This window comes from Homo sapiens, chromosome X (assembly GCF_000001405.40).
Source record: "Homo sapiens chromosome X, GRCh38.p14 Primary Assembly".
Lineage (NCBI taxonomy): Eukaryota > Metazoa > Chordata > Mammalia > Primates > Hominidae > Homo > Homo sapiens.
Window position 1 is genome coordinate 133022737 of NC_000023.11, and position 23833 is coordinate 133046569.

A 23833-nucleotide genomic window follows, 5' to 3' on the forward strand; every position below is an offset into this window, starting at 1 on the left:
CTAATTACAATGGTTCTTAAAAGTGGAAAAGGAAGACAGAAAAGGGAGAACCAGAGATGGCAGCGTGAGAACTCAATCCAAAATTGCTGACTTTGAAGATGGAGGAATGAAGCCATGAGTCCAGGAATGCAGGCAGCTTCCAGAAAGCTGGAAAAGGCAAAGAAACAGATTGTGTCTTCAGAGCATCTAAGATTGCAGCCCCGCTGACACCTTCATTTTAGCCAAGTGATAATCATCTTAGACTCTTAATCTCCAGGACTGTAAGATTTAAAAAACTATGTTGTTATAAGCTTCTGTAGTAATATGTTACAGAAGCAATAGGAAATGAACACACTGAAAGTCAAACTTTTATTTCCATGGATTACTTGAAAACTTGACCCATAAATTAAGAGAACAAATTTATATACATAATAGTCACTGAGTCACTTAACAACTTTTAATCTTTTATTTGAAAACATACCATGTAGATACTATACAAGCATTCATAGTGCATTCAGAATTTCTTCTCACAGGGCAACAATGGATTGCAGCCATGATCCTCCCTGTCATGGATACCCCTACCATCTTCTTCACATTTCATTTTGCCCTGCATTTGGAAGTGCTACATGCTGAAGAGCAGCATGACCAGGATGTAAACTCTGTACTAAAATATCAAGTTATTAGCATCTTCACACTCCTTTCAAAACAAAACAACTTTCCTTCATTCTTACCAAAATCCTGTTCTGATATCTATGTAACTGGGCTCAACATAAACTACTCTAGAGGCCAAAAAACTGAAATTTAGAAACCAAACTGTCACTCTCCTCTAAATGCAACTCCAGCCTTATCCTTCAGCTGCTGAAGTACTACAGAAGTTGAACAATCACTCATTGTGTCTGTAACACCTTCTTCCCTAAGAGTGATCAATTCAATCTATGATATTCCCTCCTATATACCTTAGCAATCTTCAGGTCTCATAAGACCTCCTTCTAGATAAACTGTGTTCTGAATACAATCTCCAAACTTTGGAATCTGGTTTTCCTCTTACAGGGTATTACCTACTAATAACTTCCCCACATCACTAAAATCCAACTCACCTATTTTAAAGGACCCTAGGCTTAAGAGCATCAACAAGCTCTTGGATTAATACAACTATACTGAAGCCATACCCCATATACAAGGGGGCATATTCCTATTGGTAAAGGTGTGACTGAAAATTCAATCCTATGTTATGTGAGAAAACCTCTTAGTACAAGTCATTTGTTCACAGCAAAGGCACAAAGTACAACAGATTCACTGCCTCAAAGGCAGGAAAAGGTTATGATAATAGTGGTGGCACATGCTTGATGGCAAAATTATTAAATCCCCTGGATTTTAATGAAATATGACCACCCTAGGATCCATGCATCTTTCCCCAGAAGCAGAACATCTTCATATGGAGTTTCTGATGTTGTGTCAAATAAGTAACAAGTAATACTTTCAAATTCTACAAGTCCACTTTAAAGCATATATTGCTTACTCATTGAAGAAACAAGACCACCACACTATAAGGTACAGAGATGTAAAAAAAAAAAAAAAATCTGGAATTAGTCATGTAATGTTGAATGCAGAGGATTGTTCAAGGTTTCGCAGATGAAGTCCAGGTAAACAAAGTTCCTCTGAGGCAATGAAAGTGCCCCTCTAAGAAAACTAACATGGCAAGGTGGGCTCAGACCACCAAGGGCCAAGAGCTTGCTAGCAGACACACAGGAAATGTGGGCCAATTTCTTAAAAGCAAATCAATCTGGAGATTTGACTTGGCGTTTAGCCTCATCTATATATGCCCAAGAGGATTCAAAAGTTATCAGCCTCATTTTTTATTGCCAGGATCCCAGCAACTATTTTTTTCCACCAAATTGCAGAGTATGATCAGAAGTGATTTTTGTGAGTTTGGCTTTTAATAAGTTCACAAAGGCAAGGCATACATTAATATGAAAAACACAAAAATGTAATCAAAACCTTTTACAAAATAAGCAATTTAAATATACAACCAAGGTAGTGTATGTAGTACAGTAGTGGTTCTCAAACTGTATCAAGCATCACGGTCTCCATCAGATTGCTATCCCTTACCCCAAGTTTCTGAATCAGTAGGTCTACAGTGGAACCCAAGATTTTGCATTTCAAATGACTACCCCCATGCTCCTGGTGCTGCTAGTTTAAGGAGCATACTTTTTAAACCACTGTATTAGAACATGGAAAGAGGCAGGAAGATTGCTTGAGGCCAGGAGTTCAAGTCCAACCTGGGCAGCATAGTGAGACCCTGTCTCTGCAAAAAGCAAAAAAAAAAAAAAAAATAGCTAGGCCTGGTGGCACACATCTATAGTCCCATCTCAAGCAAGAAGATAAGTCCCTCTCTTTTCAGGAGGCTGAGAGAGAATCGCTTGATGCCAGGAGTTTGAGGCTGCAGTGAGTTATTATTGAAGGACTGCACTCTAGCCAGGATGACAGAGCAAGACCCTGACTATATTAAAATGAAGAAGAACATGAAAAACACAATTTCAGTCTTGTAGGAGAGAAGGATGCTCATCAGCCAGAGCTATGGGATTGAGGTGTCTGTGTCAGGATTAGAATGCAGATCTCCCCATTAAGTGTTTCTGTTTGACCTTTGGTCCTAGACTAATTGCATTTTCATCTCTGGATAAAGTTCACAGTTTTCCTTCCATGGAGGAAGTGGTATCGAGTGAGACAGTCAGGCAGATCTGTACAAGGAGGAGTACGTTCCTCTTATTCCTTCTGAAGGGTCTCCTCTACCTCCTTGCTATTAAGCTGGGCATTCTCTTCTCTTTTCAACATCTCTTCAAAGATCTCATTATGCATGTAAAAGAAGATGTACCCAGTGCAACGCCTATCCTCCTGCATCTGGGCCTCCTGGATACCTAACACCCGCATATCATCGTAAGTGAACCAGATCTGTTTCTCAAAGTCATAGGCATCACAGATATAATGGCCTGACTTTAGAGTCTTCCCAAGATGGCTGACAACACTAATGAGCCGGTAGGTATGATCTCCCTTATCATCATTTCTTTTTGTTTCCTTGGCTTTAGATTTTATCTTATCTAAAATGTCTTTGTTTCTTGGATTCTTATTGGAACCCAGTGCAAGTAGGGAATTCCTGTTAGACTTCTGTAGATTTAATTTTGTAGGTCTTAGGAGGTTCTTTGTGTGCCCCTGGGTGCCTGGCTTTGGAAAGCTTTGAGGCAGTGCCTGCTGAGGGGCTTGTTCACAGATTCTCATACCGTCACACTGCTGAGTCTGTTCAGACACTTTTTGGAATCTTTCTGGAATTCTGATATTTTTATCTTCATACAAATCTTTAGTAGGATTGATAATCCTATCAAAAGCTACAAACTTACTGGTTTTCACATATTTCTTTCGTTTTGGATTTTCGGGCACTGTTTGAAAGTCAACTTTTGAGAGAGGTGTGCCTGGGCTGCTGGCAGGTTTACCTCCAGCTTTGTGGAACTGACAAAGTGAGGTATCTTCCAGATACGTCATTAAGTGAGCTAACGGTTCTTTTTCAATGAATGCTCGATCTCCTGAGTATACAGATTCTAGCTCATTTGGTTTAGAATTTTTTCCAAGGTACTTTTGCTGCTGTCTTCTGCTTGCCCCTTTAAAGACTGTCTGGCCTTTTTTTTGTTCAGACTCCTTATCTGATCCAATGTGTGGAGCCAGGATATCTTTGGATTCCTTTGTTGCAGGCCATGATACACTGATGTTTCCAGAAGTCATCTTTCGAATAACTTTTAATAATTGGAAATCTGTAATTTCTCCATCCTCACTCAAGGGAAGAGGTGGTCTGGTGCCTTCATTGCAATGAGAAGACACCTTTAAATATTTGGAAATGATGACTTCCTGGTCATTCTTCTTTAATGCACAAAACTCATTCAAGCTATAGCGTTTGAGGTGAACAATAAGGATTCTAGGTAGCCTACTGAATGAGTGCACTCCAACGGAAGTCTTGTGCTCACATTTTGCACATTTATACTCAAGCTCTTCTGCTCCAAAAAAAAGATCAAAAGTAGACTGAATAGATGAAGGATGTGCTTTTATTCTTTGGGGAAGGTTGATGGAGAGGTAATTATTCAGTTCTGTCTTGAGAATAACCTGACCACAAGCTTTACAAGCAATGGAGTGCAACAACTCTAACTCAAAATTAGTAATGACAGGGCAAGAAAACCCACTGGTGTCAGGATCATCAGCAAAAACCTGTTTAGGAAAATTATCTTCCCCAAATTCACTTTTAGGCTTCCAAATTGTGTTGAGTTTTTCCATGTTATCTTTCAGTTGATCTAAACAGTGAGCTAAAAACTCATGAGCATCGTTCTGTGCATTGCCATGGAATATCTCTGCAGCTGCTGAAATGGCCTTTTTAAGATTCAAGAGTAACATCTCCTTGATTTCTATATTATAGGTATCTTTAAAAAAAAGTAGCCGTGCCAAGCACATGGTAAGAGCATTAAGGGGAATTTTACCCCATGGGAAACTCTGATTAAGTAAATCATCAGCAAACGATGGGATTGAAAGTAGAGACTGTAACACTGCATTCATATAACAGGTGTTTCCCAAATTGGGGAGGCCGTGGCATATTTTCTCTGGAAATAATTCAAAAAATAGTTTTAATTTATCCCACTTTGTGTAACCGTCACTATACCCTTGTTGTAACAGAAATACCAAAACCATTTTCTCAGTGAGAGCTTGGAGAAGACCAATGTCATCTAGGTAAGGATTTCCAGTGGCGTTCATGATGCATGAAGATTCACATTCCAATTTCTTATTCTCTTCTAACTCTTTTAACTTCAATTGTTTCTCTCGATTATAGCTTACACACCTCGAACAATCTGCCTTGGATTTCTTGTATTCTACAGAATTATTTTCTTTCAAGAATTCCTCATTCATCTCTGAGCTAGATGAGAGCATTCTTTTCCTCTTCTTGTGCTGATTTTCTGATAACTCTCCGCAAGTAAGTGTCAATTTTGATGTAAGCAAAGGCATCCTCTGAAGGACACCTGTCCCACTTCCTTTTGCTATCTCAAAAGATTTGCTACTTGATTTCTCATCAACTTTGTGGAATGAAGTTTTGTTGATTTCCTTCTGTGTTGTGCTAGAAAAGACACTCCCACCCTTACCAGGTCTCACAGGTGGCTGAACCTCGTTTTGATGAACTCTGTCCAAGAATATCTTCAATTGTTCAGCATCTGTGGAGGATAATCCTTCAATAAACAAGCCATTATTATTTTGTAAAGTTAAATGCAGGTGATTTTGGTTTCCTCTATAGGATTTAAGGACTACATTTTGAATATTATCACTTAGCCGAAAAGTGCTATATTTTCCACTTTTGAAATACAGCACCAGTCTATCTTTCTTCTTTCTTTCCACTGCTTCAATGAATGCTTCTTTTGACTTAGATATCCCAGTCTTGCAGTTCCCTATTTGGACAAAACCACGTAGGAATAGGGCAGCCATGTTTTCTTTACAAATAAAATATACGTATCTCCGATTATTGATAATCTTGAAGTTCCAATCTGTTTTGCAAGTTCAGCTGTGAAGACAACACCAAAGAAATAGTTCATTAGTTCTCTACACAGAATGATCCTATTTCTAGTATTGGTTTTATACTAGAGTCTAGTTCAGGTTCTAGATATCCAGCTCTTCAGTAACGAGACCAATGCCTTTTGAGAGCCTTCCATGGCTGCATGAAGGCAGAGTCTTGATTCCCAAGACAAGCACACTATGGCAAAAATCAGGAAACATTCTTTAAACTATTACAGAAATGCTTTGCTTCAACAAAACTCAAACTCTACACTCATACACTACATGTAGTTTCCACCAAAATACTGGACTCCATTCTGATTAATTTCCCAACTTCAATTGAAATCATGAAACACTTGGAAGACTTTCAGTACATAACTGAAAGTATACTCAATAGAGTCTCAAGTGCATGCATACAATATGCTAATCTTCCTGTCACAGAATGACCCCATGGGGCAACTACAATAAGTGAATGAGAAAGTGAAGGCACTATGTGGCCCTCAACTCAGTAACAGATGAATTGTTCCTTGATTTCTAGAGGATCTCATATATGGGCCACTCAAAGTAAACCAGTCTACCTCCCTCCAAATCTAGCTATGTTCCTATATTTCACTTGGCACTGGGGAACATCATTACATTGTACTTGCTCATTCAACAAAAGTTTAAGAATAACAACTTCTTACCCATTAGATATATAGGCTAGTGAGGCTCCTGCAGGCAACTCTGGCTATAAGGCCCACTTAACCGGAGCTAGCTCCCTGTATTCAAAACCAGTGAGGAAGAATTAGATGTACTTAATTATTGAAAATCAGAATCTCTGAACAACTCTGGAGCCAATGTGAATTACTGAATAAGTTAGCAGACAGCACTACAAATGTTTGCATCAGAAAGTATACATCCAAGAATTAGTTGGAAGCTGTTTCCTCCTCAGTAGTTAAATATTCTTCCTGAATCTTCTCTATGCTATTAACTTGCTTAAGCAAACCCCATCTTTATGAATAATACTGAAGGAAACTTCTGCTCAGTCCCTGTCCAAATTATCAAAATCTTAAAATTGGTGAAACATAAATTAATGAGATTTTTGTTTTATAAAGTATTTCATCTATCAACCTATGTTCAGCGAAATAGAGATGGCATCCATCCATATACGAAAGTGCATATGCATCCAAGTAAGAGAATGGTTATATTTTTCATGGTAGAAATGGGGCCATAAAAACATTCAAGCACAGCACAAATTTAAGTTCTCTGGATTATTTCTATTTCACTGTCCTACTATAGATGCTAAGTAAGGATTTAAACAATTTTCTCTCCACAGAAAAGGCAGTCTTAATTGTTCCTTTTTATTTCAACAACTTGAGAGAACCTGCAACCATAGAACCACTTGCAGCTTATTTTAAAATTTTGCACCCAGCTCATCTGTATTTATCAAAAATTATTATCTTCTTTCTATTGGTAGATGAAATAATCTAAGACCCTCTTGATATTTCTTCTCTCTGCCCTCAAAAATACAGTTAAGAGACATTCCTTTCTCACAGTCCATCCTGACTACATTTCATTCCAGATGAAAGGAGGCTTATTTGAGCCCACTGAGCATGGAAAGTAAAGGTTAAGAACCATCTTGCTGATGTACAAGTTGAGTGGTCTAACCACTGCCTACATCCCTAAGACATCTCAAGCTTAAATCCTGTTCTTCATTCTGCCTTGATTGCTTGCTTTGAGAGTATTTTAAACTAAAATGTATTGTTTCTCCAAGACTCCATTGAAGAGCACTATGTGACTATTCCATACAGCCTAAAATAAACTTCAGCATTCCTCCTCCTTTCTCACCCCCACACCAGATTCAAAACGTATAGATGACAGCTGCATTCAAAAGTTATGAAAGCCAACAGGCTTTTCTCTCATTTTACCTACAAATTCAATCCATTCAATTTGATTGATCAACCACTAGTGCAACACTTCAGACTCAAAGGATAGCCAGACACTCACAAAACTGTACCACTTCTGTCAGATTTGGAGGCATGATCTATGGTGCCAAGCAGCTGGTTGTCCAGTTAAAAAAAAACCCTAATAGAAATGTCTGCTCCATTATTAATTTACTAATTCACTCTACATTGATCTTCGTGTTCACTGAGACAGTTGCTGAGCATCTACTCTATGCTGTCTGCATATTATGATTTGCTGAGTATCTGCTCAATGTTGGGTATTGCAGCCGGTGCTCTCAGGGACACAATGGATGTGAGGATTCACTGTACCTAAATGATTTAGACTCTAAACATCACTGTGTAATCGTCACAATAAAAGAGGGGACTCCTGTAATTTAATGAAGGTTTGTGTTGCTTTTGGAGTATTTACCCTCTGTATCCTCCATTTATATCTCACACCACTCAGGCTTTCATTATTTCAAGAGGTAGAAGAACTTGAAGACAAATCCGTATATACCTTTCAAATCTGAATTTGCATTTCTCAATCCCAAAGTGTACATTACCAAAGAGTAATAAAAATAAGAAAACGAGACAAAAATTATTTTCTTTCAAGTATTTTGGTGAAATGGATGATGCTTTAAGAAGAGAACCATTTGTTTTGAAAAGTTTAGAGGGAGCTATGGCCTGGAGGCAGATTAATAACCTCTAGAAGGGTCGTTAGGCTCAATGACTATGAGAAACTAACATTTCTAGGTCAGTTCTCCTCTGCTGACATGAGTACAGACTGTCATCAATTATATAAAATCGAGTATGTGTTTATCTTACTGAATAGGTTAAGGTCAAGATATATGGCAGTGTGGTACAGGTGGTGTGTGTTTTAATTATCATTTTTTCACAACTTCATGAAAACATGTGAAGAGAACAAAGATATACTGAGAAATCCCGCTAAGTTACCTAAGCAAATCTCACGGAATAAAAATGAAGTACCCATGAGGTGGTGTGCCAACCCATGAATGCAGTAAGTGGAAAGACGGAGCCAGGTAATGACTATATGAGTTTCTAACCATTTCTGGGTATCTCCAATAATCCCAAGCAAGAGTTTTGAAAAGCAAAACAACTTCAACTCACATTTATTTTAAACTACACTTAGCTTAGTGATCTTGGATAAGCCAATTCCTCTATTAGGGCCCATTAAACAAATCGGGAAATGATCATAGAACTCTCTTTGAGGACTCCATTCTGTGAGACTATACTTCTAAGTACAAAATACTTACATTGGATTTCTTAAGACAGGCCAAATAAAAGATACTTTCTCCAACAGTTAGATGGTATGCACTAAATCTGGACTTGCATACCAGGGGCACAATACAAAAAAACATGGGAGGATGGGTAGGGAAGGGATATTCTAGGTTTGGCAATTGGGAATAGAAGATATTCAAAAGCCAGCAAGCATCCATTCATTCATTAAATAAATATGTATGGAGTACTAGAAAGCATTACATTAAGCTTTAGGTATAGAAGAATGAAAAAACCCCACAAAATCCATGCTCTCGAAAAATTTTAATTCTAGCAGGGGGATAGAAAATACAGTACATACACACAAAATATGGAGAACACCAGATGGTGGCAACTGCTAAAGAAAACAAAGTTAGAGGAGGCTAGGTACAGTGGCTCATGCCTGTAATCCCAGAATTTGGGGAGGCTGAGGCAGATGGATCACCTCAGGTCAGGAGTTTGAGACCAGCCTGGTCAACATGGCGAAATCCTGTCTCTACTAAAAATACAAAAATTAGCCAGGCATGGTGGCCTGTGTCTGTTTATATCCAGCTACTCGGGAGGCTGAGGCAGGAGAATCACTTGAACCTGGGAAACGGAGGTTGCAGTGCGCCGAGTTCATGCCACTGCACTCTAGCCTGGGCAACAGAGCGAAACTCTGTCTCAAAAAAGCAAAAGAAAAAAACCCAACCAACCAACCAACCAACCAACCAACCAAACAAACAAACAAAAACCCAAAGTTAGAGGAACTGAATTTGTCAGTGGTGATGGGGATGTGCTGCCTTATATAGGGGGTTCTGGGAAGGCCTAACACGTGATGACAATATGCAGCAGGGTGTTGAAGGAAGTGAACAAATACCTAAATGTAGGGTGCCCCAGGCAGGAGGAAGAGTAAATGAAAAGGTCCTCAGGTGGGAATGGACTTGGCATGTTGGAAACAGAAAGCAGGCCAGCATGACTGGAGCATGGTAAAAGAATTGAAGAGAAAGAAGTTGTGGAAGTTTTGTAAAAGAGCGGGAGACTGAATGGACTAGTAACCTTGCTGAGTAGCACCAAGGGCTGACTTAGGCTAATAGTCATATATTTACAGCAAGACCAATCTGCATATTTTTTCTCCAGCCACGTTTAGCTGTCTAGTTGCCATGGTTCAGGTGTGTAATAGGCAGAGCCTTGAATTTAACTTGCTTGAAATTTTGCCATTCATAAGTAACCGAGTAAGAGGAAAATGGGAGCTGAAGGTGTAGAGAAAAAAATGATTATAAGTACGGACCCAGAAAGGGTGGAATGGAACAATGAACAGAAACACATGAAAAGGCCTAAATATCACAAAATACTACGGAGTAGGGGAGAAGCATCAGGGGAGTAGGTGTCCAGCTCTCATTTCAGCAGCTACAATTCCATCCCCTGATTCTAAGCAGCTGTCAACTGCTTGCAGACTTTCTTCTCCTATTCTCCTCCCACCTTCCTTTCTGTTCTTCTATTCATTCTCATCCCGGCTCCAAAGCTGGAAGTAACTAATGGAAATGGAAGTGGAGAGTTGAATGTTAGGGGCACGTAGACTGCGTTAGAGACAGACATGATCAGATGCAGGGAGTCGGGGACAGCAGGCAGAAGGGGAAAGGAAATCCTCCCCTCCCTTTTTTTTACCCTCCCAAGTTTGGGTTAAAGGTCAACACATCAAGAGACACACTGCCTCTAGAGCATTAGCAATTAAATCCTGTTATTATGTTTGGTCCCAGCTTCAGTGTGCATGGCTTTTCAAAATGATTGGATCAGGGCAGACTTTCTTTTTCTTTCTCTAGTTTAAAGGTGCATTTCTGTACTCAACAAACGTCCGAGTCATTGTGTTGCAGAGAAATGCCATTATTTTGTCTCTTGACATACACTGCACATAAATCTCTCCATAGGAGGCCCTGACCAAAATGGGAAGAATTCTCTAGACTAGCAAATTGTTCCCATGAACTATTCAAGTTTGAACCCTTTCTGAGGGACAGATTTGGCAGAGCATTTTTTTCATTCTTTTAAAATTATGCTAGTGCTATTAATACAACATAGTTGATTAGGAAAACAGAATGCAAAGATTATTTTCCAAAATTTAAATATGAATTCATTAAGAAAGAGTGCTGTTTCATAAGAAAGCATGTATTTGTTACACTGAAATAATGATAAATGAGGTTTTCTTGAAATTAATCCTTCTTCTCCTGTTGGAATCTTCCTAGTATTTTGCAGCCCTTTCTGCTAACTATTGCAATTCATTTGTTTATTCACTTACTAACCAAAATATGTTGATACCTAGTCAACTATGGACATTAACTATGGTCCATATCCAAACATGAAGCAGTAAAATATTCCTGACCTCGGGTTTTAAGATAAATACAAACAATGGCCATGCAACGGAAAATGTCTTAATTAAAAAAGTAAAATTCAGTTAGTGTTACCTAAAAGTCCATGTATTTTCTGCTATCTTAGCTTTTTGTAGCATTTCCTCTCTGCCTGGAATTCCCTAATAATTCCCTTACTTTTGTCTTAGTTCTATCCTTCTTAATTTCTAAAGACCCAGTTCAAGTCACACTTTATTTCGATGATTCCCACGTTTGAGTTTTCCTGCCTCAGAATTCACCAATCATTCACTTTTTCTAAGACTGTTACTTTGCCTGTGATACCCTGCAATGCTGCTTATATTACCCGACCACAAAGTTAATAGCTATCAGAGGATAAATTTATTTTCAGTGCGTGTGTGCAGCCAAATTTTCCTTTGCCGAGAGAAACCATAAAGTTGGAGAAGTAGGACCCCTTTAAGGGCTAGGACCAAAGAATCTTAACTTTCCTGAGGAAAACAGCATCTAAAGTTTTAAAATAAGGGCTGACGGGTCAGGAAAAGATGAAATTAATGGGCTAGAACTGTTATGGGAACATCAAGCTGACTATGACATGAAGGCAAGGTTAAATAAGACAGGAGACTAAACAGATGTACACCTCAATCTATCAAATTTTAAATGCATACACACTTTAATGAAGCAATTATTCTATTAAGTTTGTGTCCTACATAGTTGAAAACTATAAATCTTTCTAACAATCAGTATCTTTGATCATTTTTAAAGGACCTATAAAATGAGACTTTTCTTCTTGTCTCATGATACTGGCAAAGATGCAAAACTGAGTAACAAGAACTATAATACACTGCACAAGAATTACCATACATGTGAAGAATATAGTTATCAAAGATTATTTAAAGAAGGCTGGGCATGGTGGCTCATGCCTGTAATCCCAGCACTTTGGGAGACCGAGGTGGGAGGATCTCTTGAGCTCAGGAGCTCAAGACTACAGTGAGCTGTGATAGTGCCAACCTGGCAATAGAGCAAGACCATGTCTCTTACAAAAAAAAAAAATATTTAAAGTAAGGAAATTCATTAATAGAGAACACTGTGGCATTTCCCCGATTCCCATGTCCAAGTCAAGTAGGGGAAGGGGTAGTAAAATTGGAAAATCATTTACAAAAGATTTCAGACTGCATCTTACACCCTGGCTGGATACTCACTGAGAAGCCAAAATCTGTAAGCTACACTGATAGTAGAGTATGAGAGTCATGGGAAAATCTGACATCTTTACTCTGGAGTTAGAGGGGCAAAAACACTGGTGCCTGACTGAAACTGGTTAAGTCATGATACTGAAAGAATCCCACATGACATGGCAAAAGGAGGCAAAAGTGAAAGCAAGTTCTACTCCCTCTATTTGGAGAAGAAATGGTACAAGATTCTATGTACTAAGTGGGAGATAACTGGATTACAAGAAAATCATCCAAAGGAATTATTTGCTGGAAAAATGTGATCCTGCAAGAAAGAGGCTCTTTTGGACACACTGCAGGAGAGCAGAAAATAAGGGGGAAATCACAAAAGATTAGCTGGAGACCTCACCTTATCAAAGAATGGTACTAAGTGTTGGTCCCAAGGGGAAGAGTTTCCAAAGAATTTGGTAATGCCTCCCATGACAGAACCAGCTTTTAGAGCCTATTATGACAGAAAACATTGGGGAGCTAAAACCACAAACACATGTGGTGCTAAATAAAAATGTTTTGTCCATATTTTTTTCATCTGTGGAGACTAATTTAGCCAACATCCCACCTGCCTCCTTTATTATTATTATTTTTTTCCTGTCTCATCTGGATGGAGAATCAACTTGCATTTCTTAGGCTTTTTCTCTCATTTCCTTTCTTTCCCTTGTCTTTTCCAAATGAGACATCCAAATCTTACAGACCTTTTAAGCAAATATCCACAATAATGGATCAGCAGGTAAAGAGTAGAAACAAGAGATAAAGCAATTCTGTCCCAAAGTAGAGGAGAATCACAGCAGAACAGAAATCATCAAATGATTCCAGCTTTAAAGTACCAGTTGAGGCTGAGTGCGGTGGCTCATGCCTGTAATCCCAGCACTTTGGGAGGCCAAGGCAGGTGGACCACTTGAGCCCAAGAGTTTGAGACCAGGCTGGGCAACATGGTAAGACCCCGTCTCTACAAAAAATACAAAAATGTGGGCCGAGACAGGAGGATTGCTTGAACCCAGGAGGTGGAGGCTACAGTGAGCTGTGATCATGCCATTGCACTCCAGCCTGGGTGACAGAGCAAGACCCTCTAAAAAAAATTATATATATATATATGTACCAGTTGAAGAAGCTCATTTTTTTAAGGTTTTTTTTCTTTAAGTTCTGGGATACATGTGCTGAATGTGCAGGTTTGTTACATAGGTATACATGTGCCATGGTCGTTTGCTACACCTATGAACCCATCATCTAGGTTTTAAGCTCCATATGCATTAGGTATTTCTCCTAATGCTCTTCCTCCCCTTTCCCCCCACCCACCAGCAGGCCCTGGTGTATGATGTTCCTCTCCCTGTGTCCATGTGTTCAGCTCATTGTTCAGCTCCCACTTATGAGTGAGAACATGCGGTGTTTGGTTTTCTGTTCCTGTGTTAGTTTGCTGAGGATGATGGTTTCCAGCTTCATCCATGTCCCTGCAAAGGACATGAACTCATTCTTTTTTATGGCTGCACGGTATTCCATGGTGTATATGTGCCACATTTTCTTTATTCATTCAGTCATCGAAGGGCATTTGGGCTGGTTCCAAGTCTTTGCTATTGTAAATAGTGCTGCAATAAACACACATGTGCATGTGTCTTTATAGTAGAATGATTTATAATTCTTTGGGTCTATACCCAGTAATGGGATTGCCAGGTCAAATGGTATTTCTGGTTCTAGATCCTTGAGGAATTGCCACACTGTCTTCCACAATGGTTGAACTAGTTCACACTCCCAATAACAGTGTAAAAGCGTTCCTATTTCTCTGCATCCTTGACAGCATCTGTTGTTTCCAGACTTTTTAATGATCACATTCTAACTGGCGTAAGATTGTATCTCACTGTGGTTTTGATTTGCATTTCTCTAATGACCAGTGATGACAAGCTTTTATTCATACGTTTGTTGGCCACATAAATGTCTTCTTTTGAGGAGTATCTGTTTATATCCTTCACGCACTTTTTGATGGGGTTGTTTTTTTCTTGTAAATTTGTTTAAGTTCTTTGTAGATTCTGGATATTAGACTTTTGTCAGATGGATAGATTGCAAAAAATTTCTCCCATTTGGTAGGTTGCCTGTTCACTCTGAGGATAAATTCTTTTGCTGAGCAGAAGCACTTTAGTTTAATTAGATCCCATTTGTCAATTTTGGCTTTTGTTGCAATTGCTTTTGGTGTTTTAGTCATGAAGTCTTCGCCCATACCTATGTCCTGAATGGTATTGCCTAGGTTTTCTTCTAGGGTTTTTATAGTTTTAGGTTTTACATTTAAGTCTTTAATCCATCTTGAGTTAATTTTTGTTTAAGAGGTAAGAAGAGGCTCCAGTTTCTGTTTTCTGCATATGGCTAGCCAGTTTTCCTAACACCATTTGTTAAATAGGGAATCCTTTCCCCATTGTTTGTTTTTGTCAGGTTTGGTGAAGATCAGATGGTTGTAGATGTGTGCTGTTATTTCTGAAGACTCTGTTTTGTTCCACTGGTCTATATATCTGTTTTGGTACCAGTACCATGCTGTTTTGGTTACTGTAGCCTTGTAGTATAGTTTGAACTCAGGTAGCATGATGCCTCCAGCATTGTTCTTTTTGCTCAGGATTGTCTTAGCTATATGGGCTCTTTTTTGGTTCCATATGAAGTTTAAGGAAGTTTTTTCTAGTTATGTGAAAAACTAAATGGTAGCTTGATGGGAATAGCATTGAATCTATAAATTACTTTGGGCAGTATGGTCATGTTCATACTGATTCTTCCTATCCATGAACATGGAATTTTTTTTCCATTTGTTTGTGTCCTCTCTGATTTCCTTGAACAGTGGTTTGTAGTTCTCCTTGAAGAGGTCCTTCATGTCCTTGTAAGTTGTATTCCTAGGTATTTTCTTTGTAGCAATTGTGAATGGGAGTTTACTCATGATTTGGCTCTCTGCTTGTCTATTATTGGTGTATAGGAATGCTTGTGATTTTAGCACATTCATTTTGTATCCTAAGAATTTGCTGAAGTTGTTTATTAGCTTAAGGAGATTTGGGGCTGAGAAAATGGGGTTTTCTAAATATACAATCATGTCTGCAAACAGAGACAATTTGAATTCTTCTCTTCCTATTTGAATGCCCTTTATTTCTTTCTCTTGCCTGATTGCTCTGGCCAGAACTTCCAATACTATGTTGAATAGGAGTGGTGAGAGAGGGCATCCTTGTCTTCTGCTGGTTTTCAAAGGGAATGTTTCCAGCTTTTGCCCATTCAGTATGATATTGGCTATGGGTTTGTCAATAAATAGCTCTTATTATTTTGAGATATGTTGCATCAATACCTAGTTTATTGAGAGATTTTAGCATGAAGGGGTGTTGAATTTTATTGAAGGCCTTTTCCGCATCCATTGAGATAATCATGTGGTTTTTGTCATTGGTTCTGTTTATGTGATGGATTAAGTTTATTGATTTGCATATGTTTAACCAGTCTTGCATCCCAGGGACGAAGCCGGCTTGATTGTGGTAGATAAGCTTTTTGATGAGCTGCTGGATTCAGTTTGCCAGTATTTTGTTGAGGATTTTTACATTGATGTTCATCAGTGATACTGTCCTGAAATTTTCTTTTTTGTTGTCTCTGCCAGGTTTTGGAATCAGGATGATGCTGGCCTCATAAAATGAGTTAGGGAGTAGTCCCTCTTTTTCTATTGTTTGGAATAGTTTCAGAAGGAATGATACCAGCTCCTCTTTGTACCTCTGGTAGAATTTGGCTGTGAATCCATGTGGTCCTGGGCTGTTTTTGGTTGGTAGGCTTTTAATTACTGCCTCAATTTCAGAACTTGTTTTTGGTCTATTCAGGGATTTGACTTCTTCCTGGTTTAGTCTTGGGAGGGTGTATGTGTCCAGGAATGTATCCGTTTCTTCTAGATTTTCTAGTTTATCTGTGTAGAGGTGTTTATAGTATTCTCTGATGGTAGTTTGTATTTCTGTGGGGTCAGTGGTGACAGCCCCTTTATCATTTTTATTGCATCTACTTGATTATTCTCTCTTTTCTTCTTTATTAGTCTGACTATTGGTCTACCTATTTTTGTTAATCTTTTCAAAAAACCAGCTCCTGGACTCATTGATTTTTTTTAACAGTTTTTCGTGTCTCTATCTCTTTCAGTTCTTCTCTAATCTTAGTTATTTCTTGTCTTCTGCTAGCTTTTGAATTTGTTTGCTCTTCCTTCTCTAGTTCTTTTAATTGTGATGTTAGGGTGTCAATTTTAGATCTTTCCTGCTTTCTGATGTGGGCATTTCGTGCTATAAATTTCCCTCTAAACACTGCTTTAGCTGTGTCCCAGAGATTCTGTTACATTGTCTCTTTGTTCTCCTTGGTTTCAAAGGACTTCGTTATTTCTGTCTTAAATGTGTTATTTACTCAGTAGTCATTCAGAAGCAGGTTGTTCTGTTTCCATGCAGTTGTGTGGTTTTGAGTGAGTTTCTTAATCCTGAGTTCTAATTTGATTGCACTGTGGTCTGAGAGGCTGTTTGTTTGATTTCCATTATTTTGCACTTGCTGAGGAGTGTTTTACTTCCAATTATGTGGTCAAATTTAGAATATGTGCTTTGTGGTGCTGAAAGGAGAATATGTGCTTTGTGGTGCTGAGAGGAATGTATATTCTGTTGATTTGGGGTGGAGAGTTCTGTAGATATCTATTAGGTCTGCTTGGTCCAGAGCTGAGTTCAAGTCCTAAATATCCTTGTTAATTTTCTGTTTCATTGATCCGTCTAATATCGACAGTGGTGTGTTAAAGTCTCCCACTATTATTGTGTGGGAGTATATGTGTCTTTGTAGGTCTCTAAGAACTTTTTTTATGAATCTGGGTGCTCCTGTATCGGGTGCATATACATTTAGGATAGTTAGTTCTTCTTGTTGCATTGATCCCTTTACCATTATGTAATGCCCTTCTTTGCCTTTTTTGATCTTTGTTGGTTTAAAGTCTGTTTTATCAGAGACTAAGATTGCAACTCCTGCTTTTTTTTGCTTTCCATTTGCTTGGTAAATATTCCTCCACCTCTTTATTTCGAGCCTATGTGTGTCTTTGCATGTGAGATGTGCCTCTTGAATACAGCACACTGAACGATCTTGACTCTTTATACAATTTGCCAGTCTGTGTCTTTTAATTGGAGCATTTAGCCCATTTACGTTTAAGGTTAATATTGTTATGTTTGAATTTGATCCTATTATCATAATGCTAGCTGGTTATTTTGCACATTAGTTGATGCAGTTTCTTCACAGTATCATTAGTCTTTATATTTTGGTGTGTTTTTGCAGTGGCTGGTACCGGTTTTTCCTTCCATATTTAGTGCTTCCTTCAGGAGCTCTTGTAATGCAGGCCTGGTGGTGACAAAATCCCTCAGCATTTGCTTGTCTGGAAAGGATTTTATTTCTCCTTCACTGGTGAACCTTAGTTTGGCTGGATATGAAATTCTGGGTTGAAAGTTCTTTTGTTTAAGAATGTTGAATATTGGCCCCTACTCTTTTCTGGCTTGTAGGGTTTCTGTAGAGAGATTTGCTGTTAGTCTGATGGGGTTCCCTTTGTAGATGACCTGACCTTTCTCTCTGGCTGCTCTTAACACTTTTTCCTTCATTTCAACCTTGGAGAATCTGACGATTATGTGTCTTGGGGTTGCTCTTCTTGAGGAGTATCTTAGTGGTATTCTCTGTATTTCCTGAATTTGAATGTTGGCCTGTCTTGCTAGGTTGGGGAAGTTGTCCACAATAATATCCTGAAGTGTGTTTTCCGACTTGGTTCCATTCTCCCTGTCACTTTCAGGTACCCCAATCAAATAATAGGTTTGGTCTTTTCACATAGTCCCATATTTCTTAGAAGCTTTGTTTGTTCCTTCTCATTCTTTTTTCTCTAAACTTGTCTTCATGCCTTATTTCAGTAAGGTGATCTTCATTCTGTGATAACCTTTCTTCTGCTTGATTGATTCAGCTATTGATACTTGTTTATGCTTCACGAAGTTCTGCCGTGTTTTTCAGCTCCATTGGGTAATTTATGTTCTTCTCTAAACTAGTTATTCTAGTTAGCAGTTCTTGTAACTTTTTATCAAGGTTCTTCGCTTCCTTGCATTGGTTTAAAACATGCTCCTTGAGCTCAGAGGGGTTTGTTATTACCCACCTTCTGAAGACTACTTCTGCCAATTTGTCAGTCTCATTCTCCATTTAGTTTTGTGCCTTTGCTGGAGAGGAGTTGCAATCATTTGGAGGAGATGAGGCATTCTGGTTTTTGGAATTTTCAGGGTTTTTGTGCTGGTTTTTCCTCATCTTCATTGATTTATCTACCTTTGATCTTTGAGGCTGATGACCTTTGGATGGCATTTTTGTGTGGGGGTCTTTTTTATTGATGTTGATGTTGTTGCTTTCTGTTTGTTAGTTTTTCCTCTAACAGTCAGGCCCCTCTTCTTCAGGTCTGCTGCAGCTTGCTTGAGGTTCACTCCAGGCCCTGTTCACCTGGGTATCACCAGTGGAGGTTGCAGAACAGCAAAGATTGCTGCCTGCTCCTTCCTCTGGAAGCTTCATCCCAGAGGTGCACCAGCCTGATGCCAGCTGGAATTCTCCTGTATGAGGTGTCTGTCAACCCCTGTTGGGAAGTCTCTCCCAGTCAGGAGTCATGGAAGACAGGGACCCACTTAAGGAGGCAGTCTGTCCCTTAGCAGAGCTGGTGTGCTGTGCTGGGAGAATCCCCTTTGTCAGGATCCACTGCTCTCTTCAGAGCCGGCAGGCAGGAAGGATTAAGTTTGCTGAAGCTGTGCCCACAGCCACCCTTCCTCCTACGTGCTCTGTCCTAGGGAGATGAGAGTTTTATCTATAAGCCTCCGACTGGGGCTGCTTCCTTTCCTCCAAAGGTGCCCTGCCCAGTGAGGAGGAATCTAGAGAGGCAGTCTGGCCATAGCCATTTTGCCACACTGTGGTGAATTCTGCCCAGTCCAAATCTTCCAGTCTCCTTAGCATTGTCAGGGTAAAACCGCCTACTAAAGCCTCAGTAATTGTGGATGCTCCTCCCCACATCAAGCCCGATCACCCCAGGTTGACTTCAGACTGCTGTGCTGGCAGTGAGAATTTCAAGCCAGTGGTTCTTAGCTTGCTGGGCTCCATGGGACCGGGACCCACTGAGTGAGACCACTTGGCTCCCTGACTTCAGCCCCCTTTCCAAGGGAGTGAATAGTTCTGTCTCGCTGGGGTTCCAGGCACTGCTGGGGTATGAAATAAAAACTCCTGCAGCTAGCTCAGTGTCTGCCCAAACAGCCACCCAGTTTGTGCTTGAGACCCAGGGCCCTGGTGGTGTAGACATATGAGGGAATCTCTTGATCTGCAGATTCCAAAAACCATGGGAAAAGCATAGTACCCAGGCCAGATAGCACAGTCCCTCCCGCCTTCCCTTGGCTGAGGGAGGGAGGTTCCCTAGCTCCTTGTATTTCCTGGGTGAAGTAATGCCCCACCCTGCTTCTGCTCACTCTCTGTGGGTTGCACCCACTGCCTAACCAGTCCCTGTGAGATGAACTGGGCACCTCAGTTGGAAATGCAGAAATCACCTGCCTTCTGCATTGGTCTCGCTGGGAGCTGCAGACTGGCACTGTTTCTATTCAGCCATCTTGGCCCCTCCTCCAAGGAGCTCAATATTTATTTAAGTTTGTCAACAACAACAGAAAACCAAACTGCCACTTTTTTGGCAAGCAAGGAGTGCTTCCACCTATTGAGGACACAGTATTAATTGTATTTATGTGTACAGTATCAGTGCCTGTCACTGCTAGGAATCCTTATTCTCTAAGCATGTGAATGGCTAGACACTATACTCAAAAAGTAAGAGGGAAGACCTGGAACCAATTTTGACAGTAAAGCAACATGAAGCCTTAAAAAACACACAGTCTAGACTTGAGTTAGGAAAGGAAAAAAAAAAGGCCTTTGTTTAATTCCCTCAAATATCTGGAGTGCTGACAGGAATCCAGGAAAGGTACGAAGTATTTCTGGGCAGAGTTAGTTTGGTGTCAATAAACTGATTCAGACAATAAGTGCTTAAGCATTCAGAGAAGGAACTGGTGGAGGTGGTTTAAGCTATCAGAAAGTAGTCAAATTGAAGGGGGGACCAGAAAAAGGATGAGAATTTTGAGAAGGTACTGGATTGGGAACACCTTAAGCACTGTGCTGTACAGGGATTCACTTGCTTTAAAATTTCATTAGGTAAAAAGAAAGGTGAGATTGTAGGAAGTTTTAGAAGCCTACTGTAGGCCAATGATAACTGAGCTACCAGTGCTAAAAGATTTCCTGGGCTACTGAAGCCCCCAGACACACAGGTCCTTTTCCCTCACACTGTTTGTGTAATCTTACTTAGTTTGGACTTTCTGTCCAGAGTAACCCTCAACTTTACTCATATCTGACATCCCATTACAACGTTCTTTGCTCAGCAGAACTTCCAGCCCTGATCCTGCTATACTGTGCTCTCTTGTCCTTACTGGTAAACCTATTTCTAACCCTTCACTGACATCTTTGCTTGCAAGTCCTGACACTTGACTAAGGAGCGCTGCCATAGCAGACAGGCGGGGCTGGGGCTTGTCCCATATCAAGTGCTTCCTGCTGGGAGCAGTGGCTCATGCCTGTAATCTCAACACTTTGGGAGGCCAAGATGGGAGAATCACTTGAGCCCAGGAGTTTGAGACTAACCTGGGCAACATAGCAAGACTCCATCTCTACGAAAAATAGAAAAAAAATAGCCAGGTGTGGTGGCATGTTCCTGTAGTCCTAGCTACTCAGGAGGCTGAGGTGGGAGGATCAGTTCAGGAGGCCGAGGTGGCAGTGAGCCGTGATTGCACTCAAGCCTGGGCCTGTGTTACAAAAAACAAAAAACAAAACAAAACAAAAAACTTCCAAAGCCATTGCAAACAAAGATTATTGCTCCATTAAAAAAAAAATAGCTCAAAAAGAAGTAAGTCCACAAGTGAGCAGATGGTTAAGTATGCATCAGTTTTGTCTTTCAATTTCTGTCAAAAAGCTCAGGCACTTGACCTTTGAAGGAAATCTGAGGGTAAACTGCACTATTTGTGCCCACCCACCCATCTACTACTCTCTTCACATTCTTCCTTGAAATAAATATGCTGGGAAGTCTGAATAAGGAAAACAAATCACAAGCTGACAGCTTATGATAATGAGAGGTGACAGCATGCTGGCAGCCCTCGCAGCCCTCGCTCACTCTTGGCGCCTCCTCAGCCTCAGCGCCCACTCTGGCCGCGCTTGAGGAGCCCTTCAGCCCACCGCTGCACTGTGGGAGCCCCTTCCTGGGATGGCCAAGGCCAGAGCCGGCTCCCTCAGCTTGCAGGGAGGTGTGGAGGCAGAGGCATGGGCGGGAACCGGGGCTGCACGCAGTGCTTGCGGGCCAGCTAGAGTTCCGGGTGGGCATGGGCTTGGCAGGCCCTGCACTCAGAGTGGCTGGCCGGCCCTGCCGGCCCCAGGCAGTGAGGGGCTTAGCACCTGGACCAGCAGCTGCGGAGGGTGCGCCAGGTCCCCCAGCAGTGCCGGCCCACTGGCGGTGCGCTCGATTTTTCACACGGCCTTAGCTGCCTCCCCGTGGGGCAGGCTCAGGACCTGCAGCCTGCCATGCCTGAGCCTCCCCTGCTCCCCACCGTGGGCTCCTGTGTGGCCCAAGCCTCCCCGACGAGCGTCACCCCCTGCTCCACAGTGCCTGGTCCCATCGACCACCCAAGGGCTGAGGAGTGCAAGCACAAGGTGCAGGACTGGCAGGCAGCTCCACCTGCAGCCCCAGTGTGGGATCCACTGAGTGAAGCCAGCTGGGCTCCTGAGTCTAGTGGGGACTTGGAGAACCTTTATGTCCAGCTAAGGGATTGTAAATACACCAATCAGCACTCTGTGTCTAGCTCAGGGTTTGTAAATGCACCAATCAGTGCTCTGTATCTAGCTAATCTGGTGGGGACTTGGAGAACCTTTTTGTCTAGCTACAGGATTGTGAATACACCAATCAGCACTCTGTGTCTAGCTCAAGGTTTGTAAATGCACCAATCTGTGCTCTGTGTCTAGCTGATCTGGTGGGGACTTAGAGAACCTTTTTGTCTAGCTAAGGGATTGTGAATACACCAATGAGCACTCTGTATCTAGCGCAAGGTTTGTAAATGCACCAATCAACACTCTGTGTCTAGCTCAGGGTTTGTAAATACACCAACCAGCACTCTGTATCTAGCTAATCTAGTGGGGACTTGGAGAACTTTTGTGTCTAGCTCAGGGATTGTAAACGCACCAATCAGCACCCTGTCAAAACGGACCAATCAGCTCTCTGTAAAACATACCAATCAGCTCTCTGTAAAATGGACCAATCAGCAGGATGTGGGTGGGGCCAGATAAGAGAATAAAAGCAGGCTGCCCGAGCCAGCAGTGGCAACCCACTGGAGTCCTCTTCCACACTGTGGAAACTTTGTTCTTTCACTCTTTGCAATAAATCTTGCTACTGCTCACTCTTTGGGTCCACACTGCCTTTATGAGCTGTAACATTCATCGCAAAGGTCTACACCTTCACTCCTGAAGCCATCAAGACCACGAACCCACCGGGAGGAACGAACAACTCCAGACGGGCCGCCTTATGAGCTGTAACACTCACCGTGAAGGTCTGCAGCTTCGCTCCTGAGCCAGCGAGACCACAAACCCACCAGAAGGAAGAAACTCCAAACACATCCGAACATCAGCAGGAACAAAATCCAGACACGCAGCCTTTAAGAACTGTAACACTCACCGCGAGCGTCCACGGCTTCATTCTTGAAGTCAGTGAGACCAAGAACCCACCAATTCCGGACACAATAATAAAAAACAGTTACTTCTTGCCATTGATTATTCCAACAATCATTGTTGGGTCAAGGTCATCCTGGGAACATCCATGACCACAGGTCCAATTCTGGAAAGGAAAAGGTATTGATCCAACTACGGAGTAGTGGGTAAGTTCATTTTTCAAAAAGCAGGAGTATGACAGAGGTCTCCCTGGAATGTTTTGGGGTGGTCCTACAAGGATTCCTTGGTACTTATCCTTCTATCAATGTCCTCATCCCCAAAAAGCCTTGCAGAGATACTATTGGGACACTAATGGAATAGATTCCACTGCTGTGGATCAATCAGGGGTTGTTTGGCCTCACACGACACAAGAGGGAGCTATAGCATTTTCATTTCCAAGGTAAAGAGGGCAGCAATTCTTCAATGCATCTTCAGCTTAGTTAAGGAGAACTGTAACATACACCTAGCAAGAGCTGTGAGGGTATTTTATATAGACGCTTGTTTGGAAAATGAACTTGAAAATGTATTAAATGCCACAGGTATTGGAATGAAAATCCCTCAGAATGGCTTAAAAATACCAATTTGTCTTATCTAAAGGATCAGTCTCCTGAGCAGATTTGTAAAGTTGCCTTAATTTGTCCATTGTTTTTAAAACTTGTCCTGAGATATCCTTAAGATTGGATTCCCAAAACCTAAATCATACCTCTAACCCCTAAAAAGGTGATTCTCATTCATCTCCCTACTTAGGTGG

The 23833-nt window shown here is 40.9% G+C and overlaps 1 protein-coding gene across 1 annotated transcript in view; it reads right to left on the reverse strand.

Moving 5' to 3' along the window:
• Positions 1-431: 431 nt before the first annotated feature.
• The window catches only part of USP26 (ubiquitin specific peptidase 26), a 73942-nt gene continuing 50540 nt past the window's right edge, over positions 432-23833 (reverse strand). Inside the window, exon 6 of the mRNA NM_031907.3 lies at positions 432-5560. Coding sequence (NP_114113.1) covers positions 2743-5484 — 2742 coding nt within the window. The 5' untranslated portion in view covers positions 5485-5560 and the 3' untranslated portion in view covers positions 432-2742. The remainder of the gene's footprint in view (positions 5561-23833) is intronic.